The following is a 15,745-nucleotide window of genomic DNA, read 5'->3' on the forward strand; positions in this document are numbered from 1 at the left end:
GTGCTTCACACACAGTATGTCATTTAATCCATTCTATAGCAATGGGGAGATGTTTTTTGTTGCTCTCTTACAGAAGATGAAAACTGGCTGGGGCTTGGGTAGTATGTATTTAATCCTGGATCTTCTTGGCTTCTGATCTGGAAGTACGGCCTTGAAGGATGGCTTGTGCTAGCTCTTCTACCATTGAGGCTGAGGGGTCATCTTTGTATCACATTCACTGAGATCTCCGTGGATTCCACGGGCAGAGAGCACAAACCCTTGCTCGACCCTCAGCAGGTATAAAACATGAAGGGGTCATGTTCAGAAAAGAGGAGTGAAGCTTCTCAAGAATTTACAACAAGACCATCTGTCTTCTCCTCTGCTCAGGGAAGACTTTCCTAAACTGAAAATCACTCCAATGTCCCCAGTTCAAAGAAAGGAGATTTCCAGTAAAGAAGGTTAAGGAAGGCTAGAAACAAATGATACCTCTATTCCAAGTGGGAACTCTGTTGCAGGAATGGGTAAGTATGTCCCTGCTGCTTCTCTCACTTTATAATCCCTTAATCCAAAATCAAGACACCAGTGAAATTTAGAAACCCAACACCCTGTCTGCTCCAGAAAATGCAAATCTCCCAGGAAAGAATCCACTTGTTTCCTGGCCTTGTGACAAGGCTTGGGGCCATTGTGAATCACTCTCTGCCAAGAAAAAGAGCCACTGTTCACAACATGGAATAAGACTGCAAGGGGGTCTTGTAGGTGACTCACAGAGCCCCTGGGGGCAGGAGAGACAAGCATGTCTGCTAGAACTGCTGCTGCTGGCGGCTCTAGAAAAAAAAAATCTATTTTCTTGAAAATTGAACCTCTCCTTTAGGTTTCCTTCCATTTTTTTCCCCCTTAAATCGTCCAAGATTAATGTGGCAAAAATAAAATGCCCCACAGGCTGCTCATTTTGACACTTACTACAGCACATAAAAGTGAAGAATTAGCATGGAATGAATAATTTATTTAGTGTTTTACGTTGTTTTAAACAAATCACTTCCATGAAAGCAATGTGTATTCAAGCAATAAATCACTGTTTAGCATTCTGTCAGGAGGAAAGATACCACTTGGCAGAATTATTGAATGGCAGTGCCTGGCAGGGAGGCAGGCACAATAAAGATAAAGGTGATGTCCTTGCAAAACAGGAATTTGTTTGGATCTGGAGTAGGATAGGGTGGAGTGAGAGTCAGTCATGAGGCTTTTTCTTCCATTTACAAGGGTTAAATGAGCACCTACTTGTGCTACTACATTTGATGTTATGACTAGCACAGGGTAACTTGCTATGACATCATAGCTACTGTTATTTATTTTATGATTGCAATTACTGTGGCCAAACATGGGGCCTAAGTGATGGGGATATTCCATTGCAACAAAACAATGAGTTCTATGCTCTTAAATTGATCCTTGGGGTCTTCAGACAACTTTATATAATGTGATAAGTATTATGATAGAAGTGTATGCAAAATGCCTAGTAGGGAGACGGGAATCTGGAAAGGTTTTATAAAGATGGTTTCACTGTATCCAGGCCTATTTAGCCAAAAGGCTGGAAAATGTGAAGCATGTTCAATACAGAAGGCTTTGTGAGACCAGAGGAATGCAAATGTGAAGCCCAGTGATGTTTGGGTGGAGAGTGAATATGGTGATGTGGTACAACTCAGTGATGGGGAGGATGGCACTGAGAGAAGGGTGGCAGGAGAAGCTTAACAAGAGATCCACAAGGATGCAGGGTGACCTTCACACGCTCTAGAGGCTGTGGCCCCTGGATAAATTGGCCCTAGACACCAGAAACCAAAACCAGATTCAGTCTCCAAAGCAAGGGTTTGAAGCTATTACTTATCAGCCCTGCTAATTACCAACCCTGTCTGCAGCAGAACTACAGTAGGAGAAACTGGCTCAGGTCAAAAGAAAGAAGGACCCTGGTACTCTTCTTAAAATCAAGTCAAAGGTAGAGCTGCTCTATTATCCCAGCTTTACGCAGTTTTGAGAATGAAAATGCAATCCAAGGTTTTGTTAAGGGCGGAAACAAAACAGTTCCTTGGGAGCTAAACTACCTCACATGACAAATCTCAAAATGTCTCTACTTTTTAAATTGTCAATGCCACAAACAAAACCTGAGGTCTAACATTCACATCAGCAATGCCTGCAGCCCTCCATCACTCCTGGCAACTCCTGACAGTTAGTGCAGGCTGATAATTCCTACCGCTTACAACACAGAAGGCCAAAGGCTTGGGTTTTACACATCTGGAGGAAAAGCAAAACCCTCCCATTCTGTCAACTACTTCAGGGAGTTTCTCAATTATCTAATTTCCATCTGATTTAAATAATAATAGTAACAGCATGCTTCCCTCAGAGTTTAGAGATCCAAAATTTCCCAACCTTACCTTAAATGGTTTAAATGAGAACAAACTTCCAGTTTCTTTTAGGTAGTTTCAACTTTGCCAACATTTTGCTGAAAGCTGAAAACAACACTTCTGGCTACTAGAATGAAGGTGACAGGCACTGAGAAATGTCATGAATCTGACGCTTCTCATCACCTTAACCATATTTGCTGCTTTTTAAAAAACTGTGTTGGTGTCAGCATTTTATCGGGCTCAGAGAAAACTCAAAATGCTGTTGGCTACAAGCCAGCCAGAAATGCTTCACCCTTGGGAAGAAATGAATCAAGGAACAACTAACTATTGAAGGTTTACTATGTTCAAGGAAGAGCTGGTAGACCCTGAGGGAGAAAAAGAAATGCACAAAATGTAATTTCTGCCATGCAGTAATTTACAGTCTAGGTAGAATCTGATTGTCACTCTCCTCTTCAGAAACACTGAAGGTTCCCTTGCCTACAGGATTAACTCCTGATTCTTCAATAAGACATCCAAAGTCCTTTCTATATAGCACATATTTCCTTTCTGGTTGTGTCTGCTGCCACTTCTTGCAATTCTGCAATCCTGTAATACTGACCTTCTTGCTCTTCTTTGAACCACAATGAATGTTCAGGCCCCCAGAGCTTTCTCAATTTCCAATACACAGTTAAAAGGCCATCTCCTGGCTGGGCATGGTGGCTCACACCTGTAATCCCAGCACTTTGGGAGGCCGAGGTGGGTGGATCACCTGAGGTCAGGAGTTCAAGACCAGCCTGGCCAACGTGGTGAAACTCCGTCTCTACTAACAATACAAAAATTGGCGGGCAGTGGTGGCGCACCTGTAATCCCAGCTACTCAGGAGGCTGAGGCAGAAGAATTGCTTGAACCCGGGAGGCAGAGGTTTCAGTGAGCCGAGATCATGCGATAGTACTCCAGCCTGGACTCTGTCTCAAAAAAAAAAAAAAAAAAGCCATCTCCTCCATGAAGCCTTCCCAACCTCTTTTGACAGGGAAATCTGTTGCTTCATCTGTTTTTTTTTTTTTTAATTTTCAGTTCTGGAATACATGTGCAGAACATGCAGGTTTGCTACATAGGTATATATGTGCCATGGTGGTTTGCTGCACCTATCAACTCATCATCTAGGTTTTTTTGTTTTTTTTTTTTTTTTGAGACGGAGTCTCGCTCTGTCACCCAGACTGGAGTGCAGCTGCGCGATTTCGGCTCACTGCAAGCTCCGCCTCCCGGGTTCACGCCATTCTCCTGCCTTAGCCTCCCGAGTAGCTGGGACTACAGAAGCCCGCCACCACACCCGGCTAATTTTTTGTATTTTTAGTAGAGATGGGGTTTCACCGTGTTAGCTAGGATGGTCTCGATCTCCTGACCTCATGATCCGCCCACCTTGGCCTCCCAAAGTGCTGGGATTACAGGCGTGAGCCACCGCGCCCGGCTGCCATCATCTAGGTTTTAAGCCGCACATGCATTAGGTATTTGTCCTAATGCTCTCCTTCCCCTTGCCTCTCACCCCCAATTGGCTCCGGTGTGTGTTGTTCCCCTCCCTGTGTCTATGTGTTCTCTTTGTTTAACTCCCACTTATGAGTGAGAACATGTGGTGTTTGGTTTTCTGTTCCTGTGTTTGCTGAGGATGATGGCTTCCAGCTTTATCTGTGTCCCTGTAAAGGACATGATCTCATTCTCTTTTATGGCTGCATAGTATTCCATGGTGTATATGTACCACATTTTGTTTATCCAGTCAATCATTGATGGGCATTTGGGTTGGTTCCATGTCTTTGCTATTGCAAACAGTGCTGCAATAAACATACATGTGCATGTGTCTTTATAGTAGAATGATTTATATTCCTTTGCGTATATACCCAGTAACAAGATTGCTGGGCCAAATTATTTCTGGTTTCTAGATCCCTGAGGAATCACCACACTGTTTTCCACAATGGGTGAGCGAATTTACACTCCCACCAACAGTATAAAAGCGTTCCTATTTCTCCACAGCCTTGCTAGCATCTATTGTCTCCTGACTTTTTAATAATCGCCATTCTAACTGGCATGAGATGGTATCCCATTGTGGTTTGGATTTGCATTTCTCTAATGATCCATGATGATGAGCTTTTTTTCATATTTGGCCGCATAAATGTCTTCTTTTGAGAAGTGTCTGCTCATATCCTTTGCCCACTTTTTGATGGGGTTGTTTTATTCTTGTAAATTTGTTTAAGTTCCTTGTAGATTCTGGATATTAGAATTTTGTCAGATGGGTCGATTGCAAAAATTTTCTCCCATTCTTAGGTTGTCTGTTCATCAGTGAACAGACAATCATCTGTGCTTCTTTAGTATCATGCTTCTATTATGACTGAAGCAAATTACTTCTATTATTTGTTTAACCTGTGTCATTCATTGGATTTTTTTTTTTTTTTTTAATTTGTTCCCGCTGAATTTTGTTTTGTTTTTATAATTTCTTGTGCTAGGACAGCACCTGACATAAAGAAAGCACCAGTATATTTTCAGTGTATTACTGACAATTACACAATATACAAATATGCATCTTTTAAATATGAGCCAATATGGGACAAATGAGATTATTTGTGCTGGAATACCAGCAACCTTGACACATAGTACGGCTTCGATAAATAATTTGTTTAGTCCAAATCATAAATGTCTACTAAATATCATAAAGAATGTTGAACTGCAAATTGCTTTGCAAAATGGTAGCACATTCCCAAAATGTCAGAGTTCGAGTGCGCATGATATGTTTGTGGTTCATCATTTTTTTTGAGATGGAGTTTTGCTCTTGTTGCCCAAGCTGGAGTGCAAGGCACGATCTCGGCTCACTACAACCTCTGCCTCCTGGGTTCAAGCGATTCTCCTGCCTCAGCCTCCTGAGTAGCTGGGATTATAGGCACCCACCATCACATCCGGCTGTTGTTTTGTATTTTTAGTAGAGACAGGGTTTCACCATGTTGGCCAGGCTAGTCGCGAACCCCTGACCTCAGGTTATCCACCCACCTCGGCCTCCCACAGTGCTGCAATTACAGGTGTAAGCCACCATGCCTGGCCTGTGGTTAATCATTTTAACCAGCCTGGTGGGAGATCAGAATGATGTTAGAAAATATGACTGAAAAGATAGAGGATGGCCTTTGTGAGTGGTCTCTAATTCCAGACTAAGAAATCCCTAGGAGTCTTTATGTGTATAATAAAGTATGGAAAACGATTATAGATTTTTGAGCACAGAGGTGACACATACAGTACTAGAAATACAAAGTTTAATCTGACAGCCATGTAAGGAGCGGATTAGCAAGTATTAAAGTTTTTCTTAAAAGACTAAATAGTGGCCGGGCATGGTAGCTCACGCCTGTAATCCCAGCACTTTGGGAGGCCGAGGCAGGCAGATCATGAGGTCAGGAGTTTGAGACCAGCCTGACCAACATGGTGAAACCCCGTCTCTGCTAAAAATACAAAAATTAGCCAGGTGTGGTGGCGTGCACCCGTAATCCCAGCTACTCAGGAGGCTGAGGCAGGAGAATCCCTTGAACCCAGGAGGCGGAGGTAGCAGTGAGCTGAGATAGTGCCACTGCACTCCAGCCTGGGCGACAGAATGAGACTCCATCTCAAAAAAAAAAAAAAAGACTAAATAGTAAGTATTTTTGGTTTGTGGACCACAAGATGTTTGTCATTACTTCTCAATGCTGCAGTTGTATCACAAAAGCAGCTATAGACAATATGTCAACAAATCGGCATGGCTATGTTCCAAGAAAACTTTATTTACAAAACAGGCAATGAGCCAGATTTGTCTCTCAGGCTGTAGTTTGCCAACTCCTGGTCTAGAGACATAAGTGGTAGAGAAGACATTTAAGAGTCTATTTAAATGTACTGGTATAAAATTTTGGAGGCTTGGCCCAGGGTGGTGGGAGTTGAAATGGAGCCAAAAAAGAAAAGTTGTTCCAGGAAAAAAGAGGGTGAATAATTGCATACTTTATAGGAAAAGGTAAGAGAATGAACAATATCTTTTTATGGTTTTAAACAAAGAGAACTGGGAGCATAAAGGCACCTTTGACAGGCAAGGTCTTCTTAGTTACCCACTCCAGAAAAACTTCCTTAGGAAGTTTGTAAGACAGTAATTAAAAAAGATATGCATGTGGAACCCAGAGTCAAGATAATCACAGAATTCTAGAGAATTCTGGTGCTACAGGGGGATTTAGAGATTATTTAGTTCATTTTATATTGTATCAGATGAACTGACCAGCAAACAACAGTGGCCTCAAATCATGTTTGGTTTGTCCTACAAATTATTAGCCCTCAGTATGTTTCTAAAATAAAGTGGCTCAGTTCTCAGCATTGAAAAATATCAGACTGGAGTTTTTGCTTCTCTAAAAAAACAAAAACAAACAAACAAACAAAAAACAAAAAAAAAACTGGAAGATCTGGAGGTACTGCGCTTATCTTCCCACATAACAAAATTAGCTGGAAGAGTGTGGCAGCTACCTGCTGCTTGAAGGATATGGGCTCTCCATTCAGTCACAGGAGCCCTCTGCCATCACTCGTGTGGCCCTCTCAGGCATTTAAGTTTGTTTAGGCTGATTTCAATGAATACGCTATGGAGTCAGACTGCCAGGCTGGTGCCCTCACTCTGCCACTGTGGGAGGTAACTTAACCTCTAGATGCTCCAGTTTCCTCATCATGAAGGTATAGAACATTGTCAGCTCCTACCTCATTGGATTACGATGATAATCAAGTGAAATACTGTATGTGAAGCCCAGCCACATGGTAGTCCTTCAAATGTTAGATATTGTGATTATCATCATTATGGTGAATGAAAGCTTTTTAAAAAGTTAAATAAATTGCCCAAGTCCACATTGGCAGTTGGTGGCAGAACCAAAGACTCTAGAGCAATTTCCAAAACCCTGAGCATATTCCACCACAAATACATTGAGGATTATTTGTAAAATCTAACAAATGCATGCCCTGAACCAAGAAGGAAAACAAACAAAAAAAGCAAATCAGAGATGATGTTGGGCCAATGTGTCTAACCATTTCCATGGGTTATGCCCAAACGTAGCACATTGGAACAAACATGTAATAATTGTATGCCTGTGATCTACTTTTTTTGCCAAAGCTACATAAAGGAATTATAAACATTTATTCTACCACTGGTAACAGTAAAAACCAGGCCACATGTTAAACCAAGTTTGATGACTTTTAGTTGCCTTCTATCTTGGAGAACAATAGTAGGTAGAAATACTGGCAAAAATACCCTGGAGCAACTCTGTCCTGTTTATAAATTCTCAGTCCCTGCCTGTTTCAAAAGTGGAGGAGAAAAAGTGCTAAGTCGACCAACTTTCACTAATTAGTTATTTCTATTAGGTGACTGCAAATCAATGACAAGCAAACTTCTCATACCTTCACCCTGGCTTAGAAATTTTTCTGCCACTCACCATCTATCACTCTGCCTGTAAGTGGCCTTGCTGAGCTCTGTCTAAATAGCATCCAGTGCTCCTGTTATACATATTTCCTCTTTTCCGCAGCCTACAAGAAAATATGCTGGTGGTAGCTGTTTGTAATATGCTGAAAGCTTTATAAGACCAACTGTAATGCAAAGGTCATATTTTCTAAGCTTTATAGATTGCAATTTGTAAGGTTATAATGTCACATGCTGTCAATAATTCAAAGTGGAGAATTATAACTGTTAACAGGTCATCAATTCTTCATTCTTCTCCTTCAACACTCATTCCCCAGGGGGCTTTAATTTATTTCGTTTAAGCTTGATTCCTTGAACTTTGAACTGAAGGTTTCATTTGTTTATGAGGAAAAAAAAAAACAACTGGGTGACACAATGCAAGCAATTCCTTAAGTTTCAAGGGATCTGAACCAATAAAAAGATCACAATTTAGATAGGAATGACTCAGAAAGTCTATTTTCCAGGAGTGTAGTGTTATAGAAAATGTGTTTAGGTTGTCAGTATGCAAGAAGCTTAACACTTACCCCTCCCTCCAGATAAATAAATAAATACAACAGGAAGGAAATGTTGCTGAAAACACTGAATACTGAAAGCTAAAGGAGTTTCAATCTGTTTGCAAGAATGCATTTGTGGTAATTGTCTGCCACCAGGAGTCTGTCCAAATGCTTTCTTTGGGAGAGTAATTAAATCTGAATTCTAGTGCAATTGTGAGTGCTGAGCTTGTTGCACCTGGCTCTTTTTTGAGGTTAAAAACTTTTTTGAGTGTCTGATGAGAGCTATGGATGCGACATACACCACTTCTAATAAACACCAACTACAAACAAAATGCTGGGACAACTTTCTAAAGTTCATTTATTTAACTCTAGGTAAAGAACTTCAATTATAAAGATGCAGATTATCTTTCTCATACAACCAACATTCTTTCAAAATAGAGCACAGAGGCAGATGATGTAATCACTTCCCTTGGGTACTTATAATCTCAGAGGACTCAAAAGAATAACTGCATTTTTCATCTTTGAGGATTTTTTTTCTCGTCTCCAACAATAGCCTGAGGCATACTAAAAAATGGCCGTGCTCAGGAAAATAACCAATATCCAAAAGAAGAAAGCAGGACAAGGCTCCTCATCACATTGCCAAGGAGCATATAACAGACTGTTTTGTTGTTTGTTCTTCCTGTCCCTCTTTCCTGTGAATGTCCTCCCAACTACTCGATGCTCCTGGTGTCTATTAGGGTTTGAAGTCTTCATGGATCTCCTAAGAGAAGCCCACGAAATAGTGCAAGCACAAAACATCCATTGCGGGTTCCTGAGTTTCTGACCCCAACACCCATTCAAACATATTGACTTTCATTGTTTTTGTGGAGTTCCAAGTTCCAGGTCACCAAGAATCAGGCATCCATACATTAGCCGAGGCACAGTAATTATTTCTGTTAAGGATTTAGGTACCTAGGAGTTCTCAGGTATAATTTAAAAAATTGGAACGTAGTCTTCGATTAGATTGTGTAGAAAAGGTTGAATTAGATCCTTTAACCACAAGATAGGCCATTACTGAAATTTAGTCAAAGAAAATATAATCTTTAGACTCAACCAAGACTTGATGCCTATGATTTTCACTGTGCTGACTTGTAAGGATAATATTAATTTGTATGTGTGTGTATATACATATAGCTAAGTAAATATTGACATACAGAAATTGCTAACAAAATTGTACTTCTGCCTTCCATGGTAAGGATCATACTTTTTCAACATACTGTATATTCATTAGCCAAGACAGCTTAGCTTGAGATTTCACAGTATGTTAGTCCGTGAAATGCAGAAATGTAAACAGAGAACTGTGCCCAGTTTCAAGGATGACAAGCTGGTTTAGATTTTAAGGGGGAGTAGGGGGCACATGTCTTTCACCAAACTATTACCATTTCCAGAAATCTATTCGAACTCAACATTTAAGAACAATATCTTTTCAAGGCATTCAACCGTTAAGACAAACTCTGTTGCCTTGTTTTTCTTACGGATTTGACTTTGCCCTCAGTTCCTTAAAGGAATCACTATTACAGGTAAAAGATACAGCCAGGATGATTAAGTATACTAGAAATAACAAAGCTTTGGCTTGCTGGCTGCAGTTTACTAAAACTGCATTCCAACATTATCAGAATATTAGCAGTTTAAAATTCACCCATTAATATGTTGCTCCCCTAGTGTTAATTTCTAAGAATAGGAAAATAACCAAATAAAGAACACCTGATTAGTCCTGAAGGCAGCCTATTGAGAGCTTTTTGATACCAGAGATCTTACTATATTCACCTTATATCACAAGTGCCTAGCTTCCTGGCACAGAGATTTAATAACTGTTGATCAAATGAATGATATACCAAAGGTGCTTAAAAAAAAAGACATGCAAATGAGTGATTTTTAAATATTTATTTTGGCATCAATATACAGTTTATTTCCTCATTATCTCAGAGGAGGTTATATATATATATATTTCTATAAATATATATACATCTCTATATATACACATATTTCTATATATAAATATACATATTTCTCTATATATACATATTTCTATATATAAATATATATACATATTTCTATATATAAATATACATATACATATTTCTATATATAAATATACATATACATATTTCTATTCTTAGAAATTAACACTAGGGAAGCAACATATTAATGGGTAAATTTAAAACTGATAATATTCTGATATATATATAGTTGCTTGTATTATTTACAGTTACACTCTAGTATTATTTTCTTATATACTTTACCTCATAGGTAGTAGACAACCTAATGTGTAGAATTCTAAAATCAGAGGAAATCATTCTTCTCTTTCCACAGGACAATGAGGACCCTATCAGCCTTGCTTTTATTCTGTGATACAATAATTGAAGAGTCAGCTATCTAAGTAAGAAGTGCTTCCTATTTCCCAAGGAGCTATTTGTCTTTTCTTCACTATTAGAGGTCCCGTAAGCAACACTGCCCATGGTCTCTGAAACCAGATTTTGCCCCTATTTTGTAGCCAGGAATAGTAGCCAGGAACACTAAGGAATAGTGTTCCCTGGTAAAGATTTAAGTTCAAACATACGCTGCCATCTCTGTGTCTGATTTTACTACAAAACACTAAATTGAAGAACTTAACACGGAAGAGCAGCACCAGCAAAACTGGAGCCTAAATCACCTAAACCGTAGCAATTGTGGGAAATTTTCTAGCAGGAGGACCAAACAGCATAATTCTTGTTACCTTTAAGTTGTCTAGGGCCTTAATGGCAACTTGTAAAGGTCATATCTAACTTGGTATTCAGAAGTAGGGTGATAATTAATAAGAAAGCTGGTGAAATATTTTAAAGAAAAGCCAGTTATTAAAAAATTGTAAATGCAGGAACTAATGGCTTTTACCAATTCCTGGGTTAATGGAAGTTAACAATACACGTTATGTATCACAGGACTTGAACCACATATTTTAAAAGGCTGACATATTTTAGTCAATTATAAAAGGGAACCATAAAGACAAGGACGTCCTACTGAAGTATTATCTCAATAATCAGAAAGTCGGATTTTAGGAAGATAGCATGGCATCTTATGGGTAAGAGTGATTAGTTTATATTTTTTACATATTTCCCACGGACACAAGCTTATTTACTCACAAGGAAATTGCCCAACAGATGTCTAAAGCATTTCTGATTCCTTTGCAAGACTTTAGACAGAGCTAAACTTAATTTCTCAGAAATTAAATAGTGATTTCCATTTTTTTTTTTTTTTTTGAGACAGAGTTTTGCTCTGTCATCCAGGCTAGAGTGCAGTGGTGCGATCTCGGCTCACTGCAAGCTCCACCTCCCGGGTTCACACCATTCTCCTGCCTCAGCCTCCTGAGTAGCTGGGACTACAGGTGCCCTCCACCACGCCCAGCTAATTTTTTGCATTTTTAGTAGAGATGGGGTTTCACCGTGTTAGCCAGGATGGTCTTTATCTCCTGACCTCGTGATCCGCCCACCTGGGTCTCCCAAAGGGCTGGGATTACAGGCATGAGCCACTGCACCTGGCCTACCATTCTTAATTGTAAAAGTTACTATTATCACCACCATTCATGTGGTAGTAAAGAGCATGAAATTAAATTTTATCTTTATAGACACACACTTTTATACTTATTTCACAGCTGATTTCAATCCTGAAACCTCATGGACACAGGAATATGATGAAAACATTAGTAAACATGAACCACCTTCTCATTAAGTTGTTGAAAAATATAGGGCAAGCAGGCCGGGTGCCGTGGCTCATGCCTGTAATCCCAGCACTTTGGGAGGCTGAGGTGGCCGGATCACCTGAGGTCAGAAGTTCCACATCAGCCTGACCAACACGGTGAAACCCCGTCTCTACTGAAATTACAAAATCAGCTGGGCATGGTGGTGCACACCTGTAATCCCAGCTACTCAGGAGGCTGAGGAAGGAGAATCGCTTGAACCTGGGAGGTGGAAGTTGCAGTGAGCCAAGATCACATCACTGCACTCCAGCCAGGGCAACAAGAGCGAAACTCCATCTCAAAATGAATACATAAATAAATAAAAAATAAATAAAATAGGGTGAGCAAATCATGTAGTCATAGTTCTGTGATTGCCATGCATATCCTCCAATGACTTTTGAGTGGAAACATTACATGAAATACGTTATAAACCAAGTTGAAGTTGATTTGAAATTACGAAGTGTATTTTTTCTCTTATAAAATATATCCTTATGTCTTATGCTACATAGAAAACCCAGAATTACGCTTAAAGGCACTCTAAATGCCTTGAAGAAAAGAATGGAAATAGGAAAGGAAATGAATGTCTACAGAGTGTCAGCTATGTTCAAGACAACACGTGAAGTCTATTCATGTACTATTATTTCACTTAAGCTTTTTTTTTTTTTTTTTGAGATAGTCTCACCCTGTCACCAGGTTGGAGTGCAGTGGCACGATCTTGGCTCACTGCAGCCTCTAACTTCCCGGGTTCAAGCGATTCTCCTGCCTCAGCTTCCCGAGTAGCTGGGATTACAGGCGCCCACCACCACACCCAGCCAATTTTTGTATTTTTAGTAGAGACGGGGTTTCACCATGTTGGCCAGGATGGTCTCCATCTCCTGACCTCATGATCCTCCTGCCTTGGTCTCCCAAAGTGCTGGGATTACAGGTATCAGCCACCGAGCCTGGACTCATTTAAGCTTTCACAACAGCCCTATGGTTATTGGCAATCTTATAGATGATGAATATGTGACACAGAGTACCCCTTTCCCCAAGGGTTCAGTCATTAAGTGTAAGATACAGGACCCAATCCTTGTCTATCTCTTCATAGATCTAGTAAGCTCCTTCCACATGCTTGTGTTCTAGTGGTGATCATGATGTAACAATTAAAAGTTAAGAATCAACCTCATATTAGGTGATAGTCATGTCAGAAATGAATTGTGGAACAATGAATACTATGTTTTAGCAGTTTACGATATGGCTAAATGTGGGTTCCTGTATATCTATCTTAAATGAGTTAAGTTTTTTGAAAACAAATTTGGAAACTTTTAACATATACATGATATATATGTACATACAGCATGTATATTCATATATGTATAACCTATATATACACATACATATGTACAGCAAATATATATACAAACACACGTGTAAAAAAATGATAAAAATCCCCAAATTTGGTTTAAAAAACTTACATATTTAAGAAGCTCAACAGCTCAACAAACCCAAAGTAGGCTAGATATAAAGGAAACCATACTTAGCCATACCATAGTCAAACTGCTAAAATATTCATTATTTCCATAATTTATTTTAGACAAGACTGTTACCTAATATGAAGTTGATTCTTAAGAATATATATACAACCGTGTGTGTGTGTGTGTGTGTGTGTGTGTGTGTGTGTGTCTGTGAGTGTGTAACTTTTTTATACCCCATCTCTCTCTTTCCTCACTGGTACTCTATGTACACAGATTGTAAATTGCTTGATATTTTTCTCACAGGTACTAAAGCTCTGCTTATTTTTTGAGACTTATTCTTTCTTTTTCCTCAGATTGGATAATTTCTATTCGTCTACAAGTTTAATGACCTTTCCTTACACAGTCTCCACTCTGTCCATTCAATAAATATTTTCATTTTAGATCGTATGTTTTCACTTCTGGAATTTTTATTTTGCTTTTTTCATGAGAGTTGCCACTTCTCTTCTGTGACCCCCATCTATTCTCTCATCTTTTTCTTTAAGCCCTTAAACATATTTGCAATAGTTGCTTTAAGTCTTTGCTGTTAGCTCTAACAACTGGGCTATCTTCAGGTTGGTTTCTCTTGGCTACTTTTTTCCTTGACAATGGGTAACATTTTCCACTTTCTCTGTATGACTAGTAATTTTTGATTGTTCATCGAACCTTACGGATGATGTTGCAGGGAACTGGATCTTTTCTTCTTCTGAATAATTTTTTCACTCCTAATAGGCTTTTAAAAAATTACTGGCTGATAACCTGGAACATGCAGAGGCTTAGCTTTACATTTTCTTTGGATGAGACTCTTTGGATTTTCACTTAGGCTTCTGGAAAATTCCTTTATTCTGGTACATAGTCTTTATTTGTAAAGTGTGTTTTCATGGAAGGCTCAGCTACTTACTAAGCTCCTCTAAGATGGCAGAATTCAAACTCCAAAGTCTGTTTCCCCTGCAGTGATCAGAAACTGAAATCCTCTCTCAGCTCTTTCAGTCTTGACAGTAGTTTCTACCTGCTCCTTAGAATTCAGGAATCAGCAAGTATTTCACTCAGATTTTGAGGCTCTAACTTCCATGGCTTCTTCATTCTTGGGACTTCTCCACAATCTCTAGCTACTCTGGAAGCCCCACGTTCTACCCATGGACACCTGTGTGCAGCAGCTCTCTTCTTGGCGCATAGCCACCCAATGCCTTACGGACCGGGCAGTGCCCTCAGGGGAGAAACTGTATAAACATAGTTCCCGCCTACTGAGGTTCTCCTCTTTCATGGATTAAAACCCATTCAGTTTCTGTCTGTTGCTGATCCCTCTCCAGTGCCCTCAAAGATTTTTTTCTTCTTCCTCAGAATTTATAATTATTACCTGCAGAAAACCTGGTAATAAGCTGTTCCACTATCACTCTGGGGCTCCTTCTTAAAATAACAACCCTGTCTTTTTCAAGTTCTGTCTACTTTCTTAACCCTATTTTAAATAAGATAATAATTTTTATTATATTACAAAATCACTTGTTCACTTATGTCCTAGGAAGATTTTTCTTTTCTTTTCTGAATTTATCCAAGGTGAATTCCCTCAGGGCCAACTTTAACAAAAATTGATAAAAACAGAAATATACTGACCCTGTTATAGTAAAGGCCATTTCACCAGACTCATCTTCCTCTCTCTCACTATATTACAGAAGAATATAGGAAGCTATCAATCTGCCATTTCTTTCCATGCCCTGTGACTTTTCTGTATTGTGACCAATTAAGCCATCAACAGAAGTAGTGGGAAAGGCAGACGTTGATCGCTAGCTCACCTGCCAACTTTGGACAGCATCTTTATTCTATAGAGTCATGCCATACTCACTTCCACCTGGGGAGCAAAGGAATCTAGCCACTTACTTCCAAGTTCTAAAACGTTGGTGGCTTTAAAATTGTTATTTTTTCAGATGTGTAACAGAGGAAGGACAGCATTCATATATCAGCTGATAAGAAGGCTGGTGGATGAAAAATATATTATCTCTCACTACCACTGGCTAAGGTAAGACTGCTTAACATTAGTTGGAATTAGAGGGTTGAGAATTACAGCAGTCTCTCAGTTGGACGTCTTAGCGTCTGAAAAAATCTGCCTCCTTCTGGAAAGAATCCCTTATCCAGGAAGCTACTGGGTCAAAAAGTGAGTAAATATTCTTACTTTTTTTTTTTAG

General features: G+C 39.5%; 1 protein-coding gene across 16 annotated transcripts in view, besides 1 other annotated feature; it reads right to left on the bottom strand.

The window, feature by feature from the left end:
• SORCS1 (sortilin related VPS10 domain containing receptor 1) overlaps window positions 1-15,745 on the bottom strand; it is a 607,476-nt gene that overhangs the window by 399,150 nt on the left and 192,581 nt on the right. The window lies entirely within an intron of this gene.
• Window positions 8,467-8,526: an enhancer, noted in NCBI's record as "active region_3991". NCBI's record gives its function as "activates an Ori minimal core promoter by ATAC-STARR-seq in GM12878 lymphoblastoid cells {active_cell/tissue: GM12878}" and the evidence as "EXISTENCE:reporter gene assay evidence [ECO:0000049][PMID:35858748]".

Source organism: Homo sapiens, chromosome 10 (genome assembly GCF_000001405.40).
Source record: "Homo sapiens chromosome 10, GRCh38.p14 Primary Assembly".
NCBI classification, from domain to species: Eukaryota; Metazoa; Chordata; class Mammalia; order Primates; family Hominidae; genus Homo; species Homo sapiens.